General features: G+C 35.1%; 1 protein-coding gene across 27 annotated transcripts in view; it reads right to left on the bottom strand.

The window, feature by feature from the left end:
* The window catches only part of CEP170 (centrosomal protein 170), a 131,358-nt gene that overhangs the window by 54,353 nt on the left and 59,767 nt on the right, over positions 1 to 17,238 (bottom strand). For 12 of the 27 annotated variants that reach the window (XM_047435483.1, XM_006711843.5, XM_011544342.4 and 9 more), the window contains 2 exons: positions 12,238 to 12,714; positions 6,999 to 7,642 (listed from right to left, as the gene is read on the bottom strand). In XM_047435483.1, coding sequence (XP_047291439.1) covers positions 6,999 to 7,642; positions 12,238 to 12,714 — 1,121 coding nt within the window. The remainder of the gene's footprint in view (positions 1 to 6,998; positions 7,643 to 12,237; positions 12,715 to 17,238) is intronic. The other 15 variants (XM_017002942.3, XM_017002938.3, XM_017002937.3 and 12 more) reach the window with 5 other exon arrangements.

Consider the following 17,238-nt stretch of genomic DNA (forward strand, 5'->3'; position numbering starts at 1 on the left):
CAATCTTGGCTCACTGCAACCTCCGCCTCCCGGGTTCAAGCGATTCTCCTGCCTCAGCCTCCCGAGTAGCTGGGATTGCAGGCTCATGCCCCATGCCCTGCTGTTTTTTTTGTATTTTTAGTAGAGAGGGGGTTTCACCGTGTTAGCCAGGATGGTGTCAATCTCCTGACCTCGTGATCACCCGCCTTGGCCTCCCAAAGTGCTGGGATTACAGGCGTGAGCCACTGCGCTCAGCCTCTGTCTTCTTCCTTTGCTCTCCTGTCTGGGTGAAAACATGTTCTTAAATCTTTGTCTTCCCTCTTAACCTACCTTGTGTCCTTGATTCTCCCCATTACTTAGAAGTCTTACATCCATAATCTCTTCCCTCCCATCACTTCCTACATCTTTCTCGATTTGCTCTTTCTTTCATATCTTCAAATTATACTTAGATCTCATCTAATTCCTCTAAAATTTAAATGTCCAATTTCTCTCCCTTTTATGGTTCATTCCCTGGTCATGTATCCCCTCTTACAGTCCCTATAAGCTGGAAGTTCATCAATAATCATATTCCCCTTTCCTTGCCAAGCAGATTTTCCAGCTGGAAGCTGTCAGGTAGGTATCGCTAGGAACTCAAAGGTAAGTCTAGTCTATTTATCACAGCATCTCCCCAAAATTTATACATTTCTTCTTCTTCTGAGACTATCTATCTTTGCTGCTTTCATACTTAATATTACAAAGCTAAGTTTATAATATATACAAGGTTTTAAACTATATATTTTAACAAGTTATTTTGGAATCAAGATATAAACTAGTTTCAGCATATAAAAATGCAGAAAAATTTCTTTGTGGGGGCATGGTTGGATTTAATTAATCTATAAATTCATTGAAATAAGTTAGCCAATCTACAACGAATCATACACAAATGCTAACAAATGAAAAAGCAGGTCACAAATTTTTCTTTCTCATTCATTCACATTCAAAAGATATTTATTGAGTGTCTATTACATGCCAGACACTGTTCTAGACACAAGGGATACGATGTGAACAAGACAAATAACAAAATCTTAGAGTGAACAAACAGAAAATAAACCAGACGGAAGTGAGTTCTATAAAGAAAACACAACATGGCAATCTGATGGAGAGATATAAGAAGTGAATGACGCAACTACTTTAAATAGAGTGGTGAGTAAAAGCCACTTCAAAGTGAATTATGAGATGGGTATAGAGTTTCCATTTTTCAAGACAAAAAGTTACAGAGATGGATGGCGGTGATGGTTGTGCAACATTTTAAACGTATTTAATAACACTAAACGCTACATTTAAAAATTGCTAAGACGATAAATTTTCTTATATATATTTTCCACAATAAAAAGATGGAAGGAATAAATAAAATGAATTATGAGAAGCTAGGCATGCCAAAAAGACAAGGAAGAGCTTATTAGATTGAGGGCACAATTTCCTCAAAGAGGAAAATAAATAGAATTTCATACAATAAGAGAGAAAGGAAAATGAGGACAAACCTATTATGTTAGGCGTCTGGCTGAATAAAAGGTGAGGGTTCCCTCGTGAAGCTTTGGAAATTAACACAGCAGGAGAGGGTTTCTTATACCCAGGAAGGAGGCAGCAGAGGTTAAGAAGGGTTGAGGAGAACTAATCAGAGAAACCAAAAGTAAGCTCTCCTGGTAGAAATTAAAAAGAAAAAATTCTCAATACAGAAAAAATTGCTCAGTCAAAAATAAAAATGCTGACTGTCGTCAAAGTCTTCTCCTATTGTCCAAGGCTCTCACTTGATCTCCTACTCCTTGAGTTCCCATGCACATCTAATTCTCTATCTGAGTGGACTTTGGACATCCTGCCTTCTTCTACATAGATTTTGATTCTGGTTTATCATCGTTTCCCTGGCTCTTACTTGGATCTCATCTTAAATCTTGCTGTGACTTTCAGGGTTTGGAATATTTTTACAGGGTCCAGATCCGCAGCACTGACTTTCTTGAGCTGTTTGACTCACTGCTGTAAATGTTCTTCCTCCCATGTTTCTAGTTTTGTTATAGGTCTCCTGGCTCTAGATTCTTCCCTACCAACTGTTGCTTATAGAACCAGCAGTGACCAGGCCCTATGAGGGAAGAAAAGACGCTAGTAAGAGGCTTTGTAGGGGAGATATATTGACACAATGAACAAGAATCAAAACTCAGGACAAGAAAAGTATCTGGCAGAGTTGGTCTATGGTATGAAATTTATGAGGAGAAATATTTCTTTTAAGAGGATAGTTCCTCAAGCCCTCCACAATGATCATTTTTTCTTGTTCCTTTAATGTTTAGCTTTCTGTTCTTACCACAAGTTTCTCCTATTTAGCTTAGGAGGTTAGGAAGTAACCCTGACAAGGTCTTCCTCTTGCCTCAGTGGTTATCTCTTTTGATGGAAGAGTGGAGAGAAGAAACTGGTACTGTGATGGGAAGGTAGTTATCGGAGAGGCCAAGGGAGAGAGGGTTGGGAGAGATAATTACTAGTATGAGAGATAAATGCCTTTAATCTAGGCAGTCAACAGCACTTTCTTATAGTGTATTTCCATGTAAACTTAGATGTAAAACTTAAGAGGTCTTTATCAATATCAGGTATTTGTGTTAACATTTTAAAGGTGAATTTGAGGACATGCATAAAATAAGGTGATCTATTGAGAGAGACAGCCCCAAAATACAAACCCAAATGCTGTAATCTCATAACTTGGCGACAGAAAAAGAGGGTAGGTAGTTCACTATCTTTTAACTACTACCAGCACAGAAAAATAAGGATACAGCAGTTTAGCTTGGTCATCTCTTTAAAGAAATCCTATTTTAATGCTATGCAACTCTTCCCAAGGTAAGATGCAAATACACGGTTTGCTCATCTTCTTTAGCCCAAGAATTACAATGTATTTTGGAGAAAAACTGAAAAGGCATTCTGTGCTCATCATAGTTAACATCAGTGTGTCATGTGATACTGTTGCTTACTGACTTCTCTTTGCTCTGCTTTTTATTCCAAGATGCTACATATTCCTTTGGTTTTCTCTTATTCCTGTTACATATTTTTCAGTTTCCTTTGTTCCCCCTTCTCCTTTGTCCATCAATGTTGGTGTTGCTGAGATTTTCATACTTTATTTGCTCTCACCCTATACATTTTCTCTGATTAATCTCATCTCTTATTTTGTATTCAATTACTGCTATGGTTTGGATGTGGTTTGTCCCTGCCAAAACTCATGTAGAAGTTTAATTGCCAGTGTGACAGTGTTGGGAGGTGAGGCCTAATGGGAGGTGTTTGGGTCAAAAAGGCAGATCTCTCATGAATATATTAATGCTATCTTGTGAGTTCTTGTTCTTATGGGAATGGATTTGTTCCCTTCACAGTAGACTGTTATAAAGTGAGGCAGCCCCTCTTGTTTTGCCTTTTTGCATATGTCCACTTCCCCTCTGACTTTCTCTACCATGTTTTGACCCAGCATGTAGCCCTTAACATAAGCCAGCCATATGTGGAGCTATGCTCTAGAATTTCCCAGCCTGCAGAATTGTGAGCTAAACAAACCTCTTTTCTTGATAAGCTACCCAGTCTCAGATATAGCAACACAAAACATACTAAGACAGCTGCCCTCTATTGTCTAATAATTCCCAGATCTGTATTTTTAGCCCAGGCCTCTTACCTAAGATCTAGTCATTAACTAATTGACTACTGGACATGACAGCAGCTTTTAGATTGCCTTCTGTGCTTCTGGCATTTCCAATGTTCAATCCATACTTCACACTTCTGACAGTGACTCGACCATGTCATTGCCCTACTTAAATGTTTTCAATGATTCCCCACTGCCTTCGGCATTAAAGTCCTCAGTATGATATATAATGAACTTCAATATCGAGTCCAATCTCATCTCTTCAAAAGTAACTGTGGTCCTCTGAACAAGTCATGTGTGCTCCTGTGCTTTCGAATAGGCTGTTCCATATTTCTGGAAAACTCTACCTAGCATGCCTGTTATGGGATTAATTACGTATGTTTCACGACTAGCTCAGCTGGCAATATTTATTGAGGACATTTTATATGCTGGCACTAGGTTCCTACAGTCATGGAGTTTACATTTGTTTGTGTCTCTTTCCAATGGGAGTAGGGAGGCAAATGAATAAACAGTGAACTGGTGAAGCAGTAATAAAGCTTATGATTAAAATGAAACAAGTTGATGACAGTGACTACTTTTTTTTTTTTTTAACTGAATGACTAAAGACTTCTCTGAGGAAGGAATGTCCTCTGAAGACCTGAGATCTCCTCTTGGAAGCTATTGGTAGCTTTCCTCCAACAGCTTTATTTTTAAAGTCTTGGTTTTTGTCTGTGTATATCTATTCCAGTACACAGCCATTTCCTGAGAGAAAGAGCTCAGTCTTTTCATTGTGAATCACCTTCTCGTAGACACAAAGCCTGGCACATAGTTAATGTTGAATTAAAGTTGCTAAATAAATGAATCAATGAAATAGAACACATCTCAAATGATGACGTGAAAAGAAGAGTTAGACCACATGAACGTTTCCAGGACCAAAGAACATTTAAATTCAGACAAACAACAGCTGATGGCCCCAACTTCAATCCCACACACCCAAACCTCAAAATGGAGAAACTGGATGACAACACTCATCCAGGCAACTTGATATGATGCCTGTATCTACTCCTATCCTCCCAAAGTGCTTTTTCTGCCTTCCTTCTGGCTGTTGTTGGTCTTTGTTTTCTTCATACCCACAGGTTACTTCATCTTACTCAGACATGATTACTGCTTTTATGCTTTTGTTTTCCCAGAGCCTGACTTTAATTAGCCCGAATTTGGCTTTAAGCTTTATGTGGATTCAAGCTAATGGAATCTTAGCTCTTTTTCTTTGGTAGTCACAAGATAATGTAGTGAGCTTTGTTCTTCCCAGCAATATGGTCTCAGCTTCATTTTCTGGTTTATACAAACTAAGAATGACTTTGAACTATGTACACAGTCACACACTACCATTACTCCTTTAAATGACTCCTGCTCTAAAGTCTTGGGTTTCTCTATCCACAGTGTGACCATATAATTTGCTGTCAAAATGGACTCTGAGAATAAAAAATGATGCTTATGATAATTGTAGGCAACAGGTGTAAAACAGGTTTTGTGGCCACCCTCTCTATCCAGCAGTTTCCTGAAGAGTTTCATCTGCTACAATGACTTCTTTCTTGGCTTTCTGCTGTCCTGGCCAAGCTAGCCCCTCACACTGTCACTTCCATTGTGGTTTTATATTTAACCCTTTCAGTGCTGAAAGAACATTCTGGGATTTGTCAGTACTTTATGTAGAGATTCAAATGTGGAAACTCCTAATAACAGTAATGATAAAGCAACACTTATAAAGCAATATAATAAGATAGGTATTGTGATAAGCCTTTTACATGTTTTATTGAATTCTTTTTATAATCTAGTGATATCGCCTCTGTTTCAGAGATAAAAGAAACTGAGGCTTAAAGAGGTAACTTTACCCAAGGGCACACACAAGCACATGCAAAGTTTATATTTAATCCCAGATCTGTCTGCTTACAAGGGTCCATGTTCTTAAATTGCACTCTCTCTCTCTCTCTATATATATATACATATAAAATCCTTCACTGCAAAATAATCTTTTAATGGGAAAACATCAGCCATTATGATCAGTCATTAAGAAACATCAGATGTTTCTTAAACACTATACTTTTCATATTAACAACTATAATATTGCTCACCTATTTCCCAGACAATGGGTCTCTAAAAGTTTGGAGTTGAGCAGCTCAGTGGTAAACCTGAAGCATGTACTTCACAATAAATGTATGTTTAGAAATTATACGTACTCTCTTACAGTGTAGTAAGAGATTTTATACACTATAGAACACAATCCAAAATAAAAATTAAAAATATGAAAATAAAAGTAAACATTAAGTTCTAATATTTTTCCTGCATCCCAAAGGGTTATCTTATCTTGCCCTCCTCCCTGAAGAGGCCATTCCAGAAACTCATCATCTAAATAAGTGCATCTCAAATGTTAATGTGCACATTAGTCAACTGGAGATCTCATTTCTAATGTAGATTTTGACTTGGTATATATAGGATGGGCCTGAGAAGCTGCATTTCTAACAAGCTTCCAAGTAATATTTATGCTGCTAACCCGTGGAGTGGATTTGAGTAACAAGAATTCAAACAAAAGATTAACGTTTAGCCAAACGGATACTGCTGTTTTGCAAGAGGTAATATGAGGTTGGTGCAAAAGTCACTGCGGTTTTTGCCATTACTTTCAACGGCAACCTTGATAGCTGATTCTAAAGTCAACCTTTCACGACCATTGGCAAAACTGAGAAAAATTGCTTTTTAAACCATGCAACAATCCTTACACACGCTAACCAATAATATCAAAGAATACACTTGAAATGTAGGTAACTATCACGACTGGTCATATACGTGGTTAAACTAGTAAACTAAATCATAAACAACTGATTTTGTTTTCATATACTTCTCTTCTACCACCAATGACAGCAGTGAATAGAAATTAAGAAAACATACGGACAAAGAACAAAGCTAAAATAAGTATTTTCATCTTCCAACATGAAATCAGCAGGTAGGAAATCTGTGGTTAACTATTATTGGCTAATATCTACATTTATGTTAACAGAGTTATAGCAATGTTTGTTGGTTGTTTCTTTTTATTTTTTAAGCAAATGCAAAGCAAGAATGTCCAAAGCATACTATTTTTAAAACCTATCTTTAATTTACACAAATTTAAAAGGTCCAAACCTTTTAAATGTACAGAGCTTTATGTATGAAACTCAGGTAAATTCAGAATATCAGCAAATAAAATCACAAAGCATGTTGGTCTTACTGTTAAGTCTTGCAGTTCCCTAACAAAACCCTAAAATTCACATACCACTGACTGCATGACAACATCTCATGCTGACTCTCCAATAATTTCCACCAGTCAAATACACCACACAACAACTAAGATCACACTCAAATTTCAATTATTTACCTTGTCAATCATTTTTCTTGCTTCCACTTCCTCACTGTTGGGATTCTCTAACTCAATGGTATAAGTACCCTTGTCACTTTGGTCATCATCATTATCCTTTTCAGAAGTAGCAGAAGTTGCTTGATTTTTTAACATTTTATCCATCTCCTGGCTTGGTCTGTGCCCAAGACTCCCTGAACTTCTTAATAATGCAGTTTGTAGGAAGGGTATTGACACCGATGGCTCCTCTGATTTCTGTTTTAACAATTTCCCATGTGGAACACCATGCCCCCCTCTGTGATGCGCAGAGCTAGTCTGTAAAGACAAAGAAACCACTTTGGCATCTGCTGTTGGAGACTTTGCTTTCTCAAGTTTTGTATGTGGTGTTGAATATGTAGTTTCCTGACACAAGATTCCCGCACTTTGAGTAAAAGAATACGACCTTCTTTTTCTGGGATTGTCTTCATCAAAGAATGCAATCATAAAAGCAGTTTGACTTACAACAGCTTGGTCTTGATGCTTTTCAGTAGCCTGGACCTTCTGTAGCTTTTTGTGTTCTGAATGGTGGCGTCTTAAGTGTTCCTCAAGAGTTGCACGTTTGCTACAGCGCCTGTGAGCCCCAGCGTTCTCTGAATCACTTTGCGTACCATCATCATGTTTATTTCCTGGATACAAAAAGAAAACACACAATAGAGAAGGAAAAAGTCCCATGTAGAAATTTAGAAGCATATACAAAAGTGCTATTTGTTTTGCTCCCCTCCTCCTTTTCAATCCAAAGTCATATGTTCTCTTCAGTAACAGGCTCGGCAAACTTGCTCAATTGCAATGGTTACATTCAAATTTTATCAACTAACAATGAGGTCCTTTATAAACAACTGAATAGGATCGCCTTTCTCCAAATTTTAACTTTATAATGTTTCATCAATGTCTTAATAGATAATTGATGCTCTATCTCTGCGATATTTGTATTCCTAACATCAATAAACATTAATTCTGCCTTCAAATTATACATCTTATTTAGCAATAAAAAATTTGACTCTAGCATTAGAGATGAAAAAAGACAAGAAAAAGGGTAATGTCACTGAAATGCTTACTGTTACACAGGAAATGAGAACATAAGTATGGTAAAAATGTGATGAATCTTAAGCTTCACTGATGTTCAGTACTTTCAGAAGCTCAGCATATTTTTCCTTTTTATTAAAAAGATTCAAATTTGTAGTCCCCATTAATTATTGCAAAATTTTTTCCACATATCTTTCCAGCTATGAGAATTTTTGAAAACTGCATTTGCACTCCAAACTCTAGTGGCTTCAGAGTTAAAGAAAGCATGCTGAGAGGTCTATCAATGCAAAGGGTCATCTATGAAATCTCCACCTAGATCTAAGGACCACTGGGCAAACAGCATGGTGCTCAATATAACCAGCTATTTTCCCCAGGAAGCATATCAGGTTAGAATATATCGGAATTTTGAAAGATCACCTCTTTAACAAAGGTTTTTCTATTTTAGAGCAAGTAAAAGCCACTAGTTACCCTTAATGGTTCTGTTAGGTTTTGGATGTGATGACACAAAAATTATTTTTTTCCTGATTTAAAATTCTCATTACCTAAATAATAAGTATATGATAAAAATAATCAAATGATATTGTATTATTATAGCATGAAATTATTAGAAAGTCAAGTTATTCTGTGCATGTTTTAAATGGAATCACAAATCAGAGCTTAAATTAGTTTTAAACTTCTTTAGCTATGAATGAATTTAGTCAACGAGGTACATTCTAATGCTTCCAGGACTAAATCTGATTTTTAAATTTACCTGGGCTACAAATTTTAATGTGAACACCCACTGAATAATATGGTACCAAACAAAATAATGATCAGACACGAAAGACTTGGGGGTGGGAGAAGCAAATGACCTATGTCTAGGGAAGTTGAGTGTTAATGTTTATAGGTTGTTCCTAATGAATTTAGAGATTACTAACTGGTCCCAATGATTTAACACAGAAACACTAGTTATAAAAATGTGGTGCATAAAAGGAATGAGAAGACACAGAAGAGAGAACTGCGGAATGCACAGAAAAGGGTCATGTCTTGGAAAAGTAATAGGCAAGGGAAACAAAGGGAGTAAGATCAAAATGAAGGTGATTTGGAGATCATGTCTATCAAAGTAATAGTGATTAATACTATAAAAATCATATATGACAACAAATCTGAAGATCTTTCTTCAAATTGTTGACTACTCAAAATGCAATCTGAAAAGAAAAAATGGGATTAATTAATGAAATCCCTGCCTCAGGTAATTAAGCTAGGAATAACAGATAGCAGATGAAAGGCAAGCCCAAACAAACTCCTTAGTTCAAATATAGACTTCATTAAAAACACTAGATTTTACAACCTATTTCATTGTTGTAATGGCTCTATTGAAAAGGAATCCAGTTTCTAAAAGCTGAAAATAACTAAATTCCAATATTTGCTGTACCATAAGAATAACAGATCACGCACATACAGAAAGATTTTAATGAAAATACCATCTTCACAGAATTTAATTGATTCCAATAGATAAAATTTGGCACTTAGTGGTGTCAGGCCCTTTCAAATATCTTTCCTATAACTTGTAGTTCAAAACTTTTCTTATAAATTAGTCATTTTCTTTTTTGGAAAATTACCATTCCCTCTTGTATTTTGTCAGGGTTATACAAGTCAACATCTCATCACAGCTGCAATTTTCTGTTTCTACTCATTAAAAAAGTCACTAGGAAACAGTCCTCACCAAGTTCTTTTCTTTCCTTTGCTCATCATTAACCATGCCTAAATATGTTGAAGTCCTTTTAATATTTTTAGGGTAGGTTAGCTGTAACAAGTCAGTGGTGTGGCCTAAAACAGTGGCAACTCTCCTAAAGGGTTAAAGTGTATGGGCTTTATTTTCCAAACTGTCGCAAAGCACCTGCATTTTACTCTTGTAGGAGCAAAGTTTTTTGTTTTAGTTTTGTTTTGCCTACTTTCAATTCTTTGATCTAAACAGTTGCTGAAAACCTAATTTTTGTAAAATTTTTATTATTTGCTATAATTACATTTATTTAGAGTCTGGCTATATACTTTTTATATCCTAAATCATGGAAAATTGTTATCTAATGATGGAAGCTCTGACTTTTGGAGAAAGTCACATGTCATTTATACACATGTCCAGAAAAGTAAAATGAGTCTATCTTGGATCAAAAAATGAGTTATATTCACAAAAACATTATCTTCAATGGCTTGTAAAATGGTCTGAAGGCAAATCCAAAAGAAGAGTTCTCACACTGGCACCATACTGGAATGTATGTCTACCTATAAATCAACTTTGAAGGACAACAGTAATATGATTACATAATTTCTAGTAAGGGCTTAAAAGATCTAATCATTAAAATACAGATATAGTATACATGTGGACATTAATCCCTCTATTTGGAATTAGGCCCACAAATGGGCTTGTGAGGACAGAACGTTTTAAAATAATGGCTTAAAAATAATAGTCGATACAGGCCAGGCGCGGTGGCTCACGCCTGTAACCCCAGCACTTTGGGAGGCTAAGGTGGGTGGATCACGAGGTCAGGAGATCAAGACCATCCTGGCTAACACGGTGAAACCCCGTCTCTACTAAAAATAAAAAAAATTAGCCGGGTGTGGTGGTGGGCGCCTGTAGTTCCAGCTACTCGGGAGGCTGAGGCAGGAGAATCGCGTGAACCCAGGAGGCGGAGCTTGCAGTGAGCCGAGATCGCGCCACTGCACTCCAGCCTGAGTGACAAAGCGAGACTCTGTCTCCAAAAAAAAAAAAAAAAAATAGTAGTAATAATAATAGTCAATATAGAAAATAGTTATAATGACTAAGTTATAAATGGGTTTAATAAAGGTATTTTTAAAATGATTACCTTTTAAAAGGATATTTTACCTCAGTTTTTGTTTATTAAGAGTGGTTTTAAAAAGTCTAAGTTATTTCTAAATTCTCAAGGTTCAGCTACCTCTTATACTGTACTAGGAGATCAATATTATTTATCCAATTCATATAAACAGCCTATGTGTTTGTGAGTGTTAACCTACAGAAACAAAATGTCTCAATTACGTATTGTCTAGAAGTAAAATGTCACAATCATGTCTCAAAAATACATATGCCAGGTAACTGCTGATAACTATAATTAAATATTGTGATAGGCTCCAACAAATAATTAGGTAATCACATCATCTCACTGTCCGGAAATGTCTTAGAAGCAAATCAGAAATAAGTATACAAATACTATTTCTTCATTACTTGATCAGAATGCCAGGACATAAGGTACAGATTAAATCAGGGACAGTCTTGTCATTGACAGAGAAATCGCCCATTGTTTTCAAATTAGTACCTATCACATGCTCAAGTACTAGATGAAGTGTTAGGAGTACAAAAACTCCTAATATAGTAACAGAATGGTCAGCTAAACGTGTAATCACAATTTGTTCAAAATCGTTTTCCTTATAGATAGCTTATTAAATAAAAGATAGGGTAACATAAATCTATACTCAATTCTAAAATAAATTTAATTGGCAAAACCAATGAGAAAAAACTGATCAGCTGATACATCAGTGTACAAACATACAAATTGTACTAATTTTGGCTAAGTTCTACACAAATAAAGTATATATAACTATTTCAAAAATGAACATTCAACTCTAATTTTCATGAAGTCCTAATATTAAAAAAAATTTTAAAACTGGATTAATAGATCCTACCAAATATTTCTAAACCAAAAATCTTTGTTTTATGAGTAACCACTGAGAATACTTTGAAGCGCTCCATCAATGATGTGACTGCATTACCAAAGTAGAACTTTTGGCTCAGACCAAATGACTTAAAATTTCTTTCAGAATCTAGATATTGATCTCAATAGAGAACAGAATTGAATATATCTTTTCCTTAAATCAAGAAAATGATGGAACTCATCTTCTAGGGAACTCTACTGGTAAACTTAATAAATCTTATATTTCTAGAAGAAAAAGAAACATGTTTTATAGCATAAATATAAGCTCATAAAACCAATCTGGTTTTGTCAAGAAAATGAAGGAAGACTATTTTGAATGAGGAAATTGGACATGGGCAGTGTAGCTTCCTGTTTAGTTTTAAGACTAAATATAACCTTTGAAAAAAGCAGAATGTTTTCTACCATGTAAGTATCTACTAGTAGTCTAGTAAATGAAGACCAGATTTTCTTTATCGTAAAGTAGGAAGTTCTGAATGATCAAATCACTTTACCTTTCAACCTTTTCAAGTACACTGGAACATCACTTTTAATGCTTTTAGAATCCTCTTCTGTTCTTTCCCATAGCATTTGAGGAGGGTTGTTTTGTGCTAGCCAGTCAGCAACTTTGTTTTCGGGTGCCATCATTCCTGTTTGAATCCCCAGCAAGTCTTGAGTTCCAGGAGAAGACTTCTTGGACTTGTGGCGCTGATCAGAAGTAAACTTTGTCACATGGTCTCTAATAGTTACCTTCCCTGGGGTACTGTCATCAAATTCAATGGTAAATGAAGCATGCCCTGCACCTGTTATATGGGAACTTGGCGTGTCTTTTGTTGGGATTTCATGAATAGTGCTTTCTGTTATTTGTGATGGTTGCTGGAATTCTTTTGTAGGGATTTCAAAATAACTTGGTTCCCTACAGAAAGGAAAAAGTACTTCTTCATTTGCAGCTGCAGATTGTTCCTCAACTTGCTTGGCATCTATGCCGCACCCTAATGAGAAAAATAAGAGAAAATTCAAAATATTTGATTGCTTCTGGCACTTGAGGGAGTCTGGTAATGGCCATGTGTACTACTCCGTGAGAACCAGAAGGCAGATCACAGTCTGGATGAAAACCAATGGCATTTATATCACAGAACAAATGTCACAGAGAAGAAAGAATCTTGATTATAAACATGCGATTTGATTACCAATAGGGGATGGAAGATAAGCAGCAGCAATGGCAAATGAGAGCAAAGCAGTTAAGAAATGGATCTTGCATGGCTAGGTCCATATTTTTTCCAACCTGGATCTAGAATTCATCAAGGTCCAAAAGAATTAAAATAAAATGTAGATGGAGATGCATGTTCAATGTATATATAAAAAGTGACAGAAAAACCATGAACTCCCTTCTCAAGTCGCCAAGATGAGATATCTGAAATATATATGAACACATGTAGTGCTCCAAAGGAGAATAGGTGCTCAAATGAGAATACAAACATGAAGTAAATATGTAAGTGATCTTCTGGAAGTAATGATTCCACTTACCATTCTTCACCATTACATTCGGAAACATTACTTTCAGAATGACAAAGATATTGCTGAAGTGCGATCCTTGCAAGAAGATACAAACATTTTATAAAGACTAAAACATGTGGTTTGCAATCCAAGCAGCAGTGTGAACGAAATAAGGTTAAAATAGGAAATTCAGTTTCCAGACAATAACTCTGGAAGTTTACATTTCCATACAGCAGAATATGCAAAAGTGTCAAAATTCCTTGGAGGAAAGCTGAATTGTAAACCTCAGATTAACATGAGTTGGCAGAAGGAGCAAGCAACTCTGGAACACTATCACTATTCTTCTGTTGCCTCAGAATCTAATACAAAAGTATAGAAACAGATGCATTTATGAATAAAATACATAAATAAAAATGACAACTAAAACGTTTTCGGTACGCAAATGCAAAATAAAAAAATTAAAGATGCTATTGTCCTGTTGTTGAAGAAGCAAAGCATGTCCATTATCAAAATGAAGAGCAAGTTGAAATGAGACATATTTCCCTAAAGCTCAAAAATAAATTCTGCTTTTAAACAGATTAATAGAAAAATCACTTACAGACAATTTATTAGGAAAACAAGGCAATACAGGGAGACTAGGTTGTTTCCAAACATTTTCTAATTAAGTGAAGCGTTTGGTCTTTTGAAACATCTTTTCAAAAATTAAATTTTAGTGGGATCTGTCAGGTACTATAATTGGTTTCTTGACAGCAGTCTGAATATGAAATAATATAAAACCTGACTGCTTTTAGGTTACAGAAGAATGATATAGTAACATCTCTCTTTCATAATCAAATGTGTGGGATAGGGCACGGAAGACAACAAGCTCCATTTCCACAATAAATATAATAATAATAAATTGTCAAAAAAATCTAAACACAAGGCAAAGAGAACATATAATATGAAAGAATATATTGTAATTTTCACTGTGAAAAATTATCCCTTTTAAAATCTACTCAGCTTTCCTATCACTGAACATGAAAGAAAAGTATTGGAAAAACTCTACATTATCAGAGAAATAATCATACATTTATATGACATGACCTAAGTTTAAAAAAATGTTTGATTAAAGAGTTAATTTGTCTTTTTCTTAAAAATAAAATGTTCAGCTGGACTTGTGAGTGTTTACTCTGAAGTCATGTTAGTTAAAATTTCCATTAGAATAAAATGTATTAACTGCTTCTCATATATTAATAGTTCATTAATGTTATTTTTCTATTTTTTCAGACATTGATTTTTTTTTACTATGCACAATGTACTGTACTTGATCAAGTCCATACAGTACAACTGGTTCATAAACCTGTCCTCTCTCCCTCCCCCCATATAGATATATACATATAGTTTGTTTTTGCTTTGCTCATCCTTCAGGTGACAGAACAACGTCAAGATGGTAGTTTCTAATACCACTACACAGAGAGCCAAATAAAACTGATCCACTATACAGAGAGCTAAATAAAACTGATGTGGCTCAGCTATGAAGCAACACAAAAAAGCTGGCCAGGGATATAGCACTTATCAAGGTCACCTGTTTTGAAGGTCACCATTCCCATGTTAGTACTACTTCAAACTCGCATTCACTCAAAGCTAGAAACTTGAGACTTATACAAGTTAATAACTAATTCATCTAGAAATCAAGTACCTAACCAGGTCAAGTAGCACAATAGAGTGGAAAGGCAGCAGACTATGATCTGATGATCATAACCAGGCAGCCTGGTTTCATGCAAAGCCCAGACAAGATCTGAAATCAGATAAATCTTATCCCTAATCAGTCTGTAGTCCTCATTTTCCTCATCATAAAGTGAGAAAACAGTATCTTCCCATAAGATTGTTGTGAAGATTTAGTGAGATGAGTATTAAGTGAGATCATGTAAGTTACCCAGAACAAAGCAGGTACACAAATAAATGCTTCTCCCTCCACCTTCAAAAACAGCTGAGAATCAGGAAGACAAAAAGCTAATACCAAAACCCAACTCTAAAAAACCCAAGACAGATATGACAATGCCTATCCTTGAATATTCATAAACATTACTAACAGTTAAGATCTTCACCGAGAGGTTTTTACTATTTACTCAGATCACATGTAGCAAACCTTGGGCAGGGTACAAAAGTGAGGATTAAGGACAGACAAATTGCACCAAGTGGTAGAGACAAGATGAAAAACAAGAGCAGACAAATGGCCCCAAAAACATGATAGTCCAGTACCATTCAGTATATAGGGCAAACAGTCTTATATACTACAGTCTCCTGAGGACATTACTGTAAGGCAGTATCAGTATTATTATATTACTAATATATTTGATTATTGATTATATCAATATTGCTATTGCTATTGATATATATAATAGTAATACTGATATTGATGATTGATGATTTTGAGTCATAAGAAAAAGTTTTAAATTATACTGAAACTTCTCTGCTTAAGAAGGTGGTAATATGGGTAATTAATTTAATAGAAACTTAGGAAATGGTTAAACTTCAAAAAAACTATCAACTGTAAAAGTAAAGTTCAATCATCTGGAAAATTCATTATGTGGAAGGATTCATTTCCCTAAAGATGATAAAAACAGATGAAGTGTGGTCCAACTACACTTGAGAAGTACCTAATAGAAAACTATAAGGGGTCTTCTAATCAACACAGAAAAATAAAACACCTTTCCTCCCTCAGAACACTAACAGAACATATTCTGGAATTTAGAAATTTAACATTCATCTATCTTCAAAACTCATTTTGTTATACCAAATGAAACTAAATAATAGAGTAAATACTTGTTTAGACTAATATTATATTATTAATCTCAATTACTAGATTTTAAAAAATTATTTAATGATTGATTATGCCATAATTAATTCCATATATCTCAATCAGAAAAGCAATTGGTGATAATCTGCTTATGTTCTTAAGGTATTTTATGACTGTGTTACCTTAACACAATATGTTATAAGGGATACTTATACTTCATCCAGAATAAATGTTCTTTTCATTCTTCTGTACTAAATTCAATGAAATATTAAACTTATTTGAGATGACAAGGACTATAATTATAACAGCTCATTCTGCTTAAGACATCCATCTAACCTAGTCTGTTCAAGCATGTCAAATTAAGAAGACTGGGAAGCTCCTTTTGCTTAAAAGGAGCTACGACTTGAAAATTTCCAAATTTAGTTTCGCTGGATTAAAAATCAACATGAGAGAGCCAAAAATCTATGATTCCCAGTTGCACATGCCATTTCAAAATGTGTGCAACAGTTAAAGGCCTTTAATTATAACCTAAATTAATTGTTGAGACCAAGTTAGGAGGTAGAAAAGCATAGCTGTAAATAAATTGAGGACAAACTTTACGTCTTAATACGATTAAAAATAGTCACACAATTTCTGGAGAACGAAATTGCTCTAAAGTAAGTATTTGCTTAAACCAGGGCTTTTTAAGCTATATGGCAAGTCTTCGGGAGTTTCTGGATATATATGAACCCACAGAGAGGAACGTTAAAAATTACTAGGTAGCAAACACTCTATTATCCTTTCTGGAATGCAACTCTAAAAATTAATAACGAAGAAGCAAATCACTTTTTGCTTTCACTAAGAGTATGCTACAGGATAAATTATTAAACTAATCACGTATATTCCACAATTTGAAACTTAAAAAAAAAGTTTAAGTTTTTAAAAATACCTTAATTTCAAAATGACCACATTAAAGAACACTTGATATACATTTCAAATCTGATTCTACAATTTCTGCTGGCTTCATAAATTATTACAAGACAGTAAACTATTTTCCTCATCCTATATTTTAAAAAGCTGCAAATGATAAATCTGAAACAGTAATATCCTCATACTAACATAAGAAAGCAAGTGAGAGTCTCTTAAGGCTATTACTAATCAGCTGTATCTGACAGGGCACTTTAAGGAATTTGACACAAGACATAAATCACTGAATTATTACTCAAAAAGAACCCCAAGATCATGAGACGGCTTTTGGTCA

The sequence above is a fragment of the Homo sapiens genome, chromosome 1, assembly GCF_000001405.40.
Source record: "Homo sapiens chromosome 1, GRCh38.p14 Primary Assembly".
NCBI lineage: Eukaryota > Metazoa > Chordata > Mammalia > Primates > Hominidae > Homo > Homo sapiens.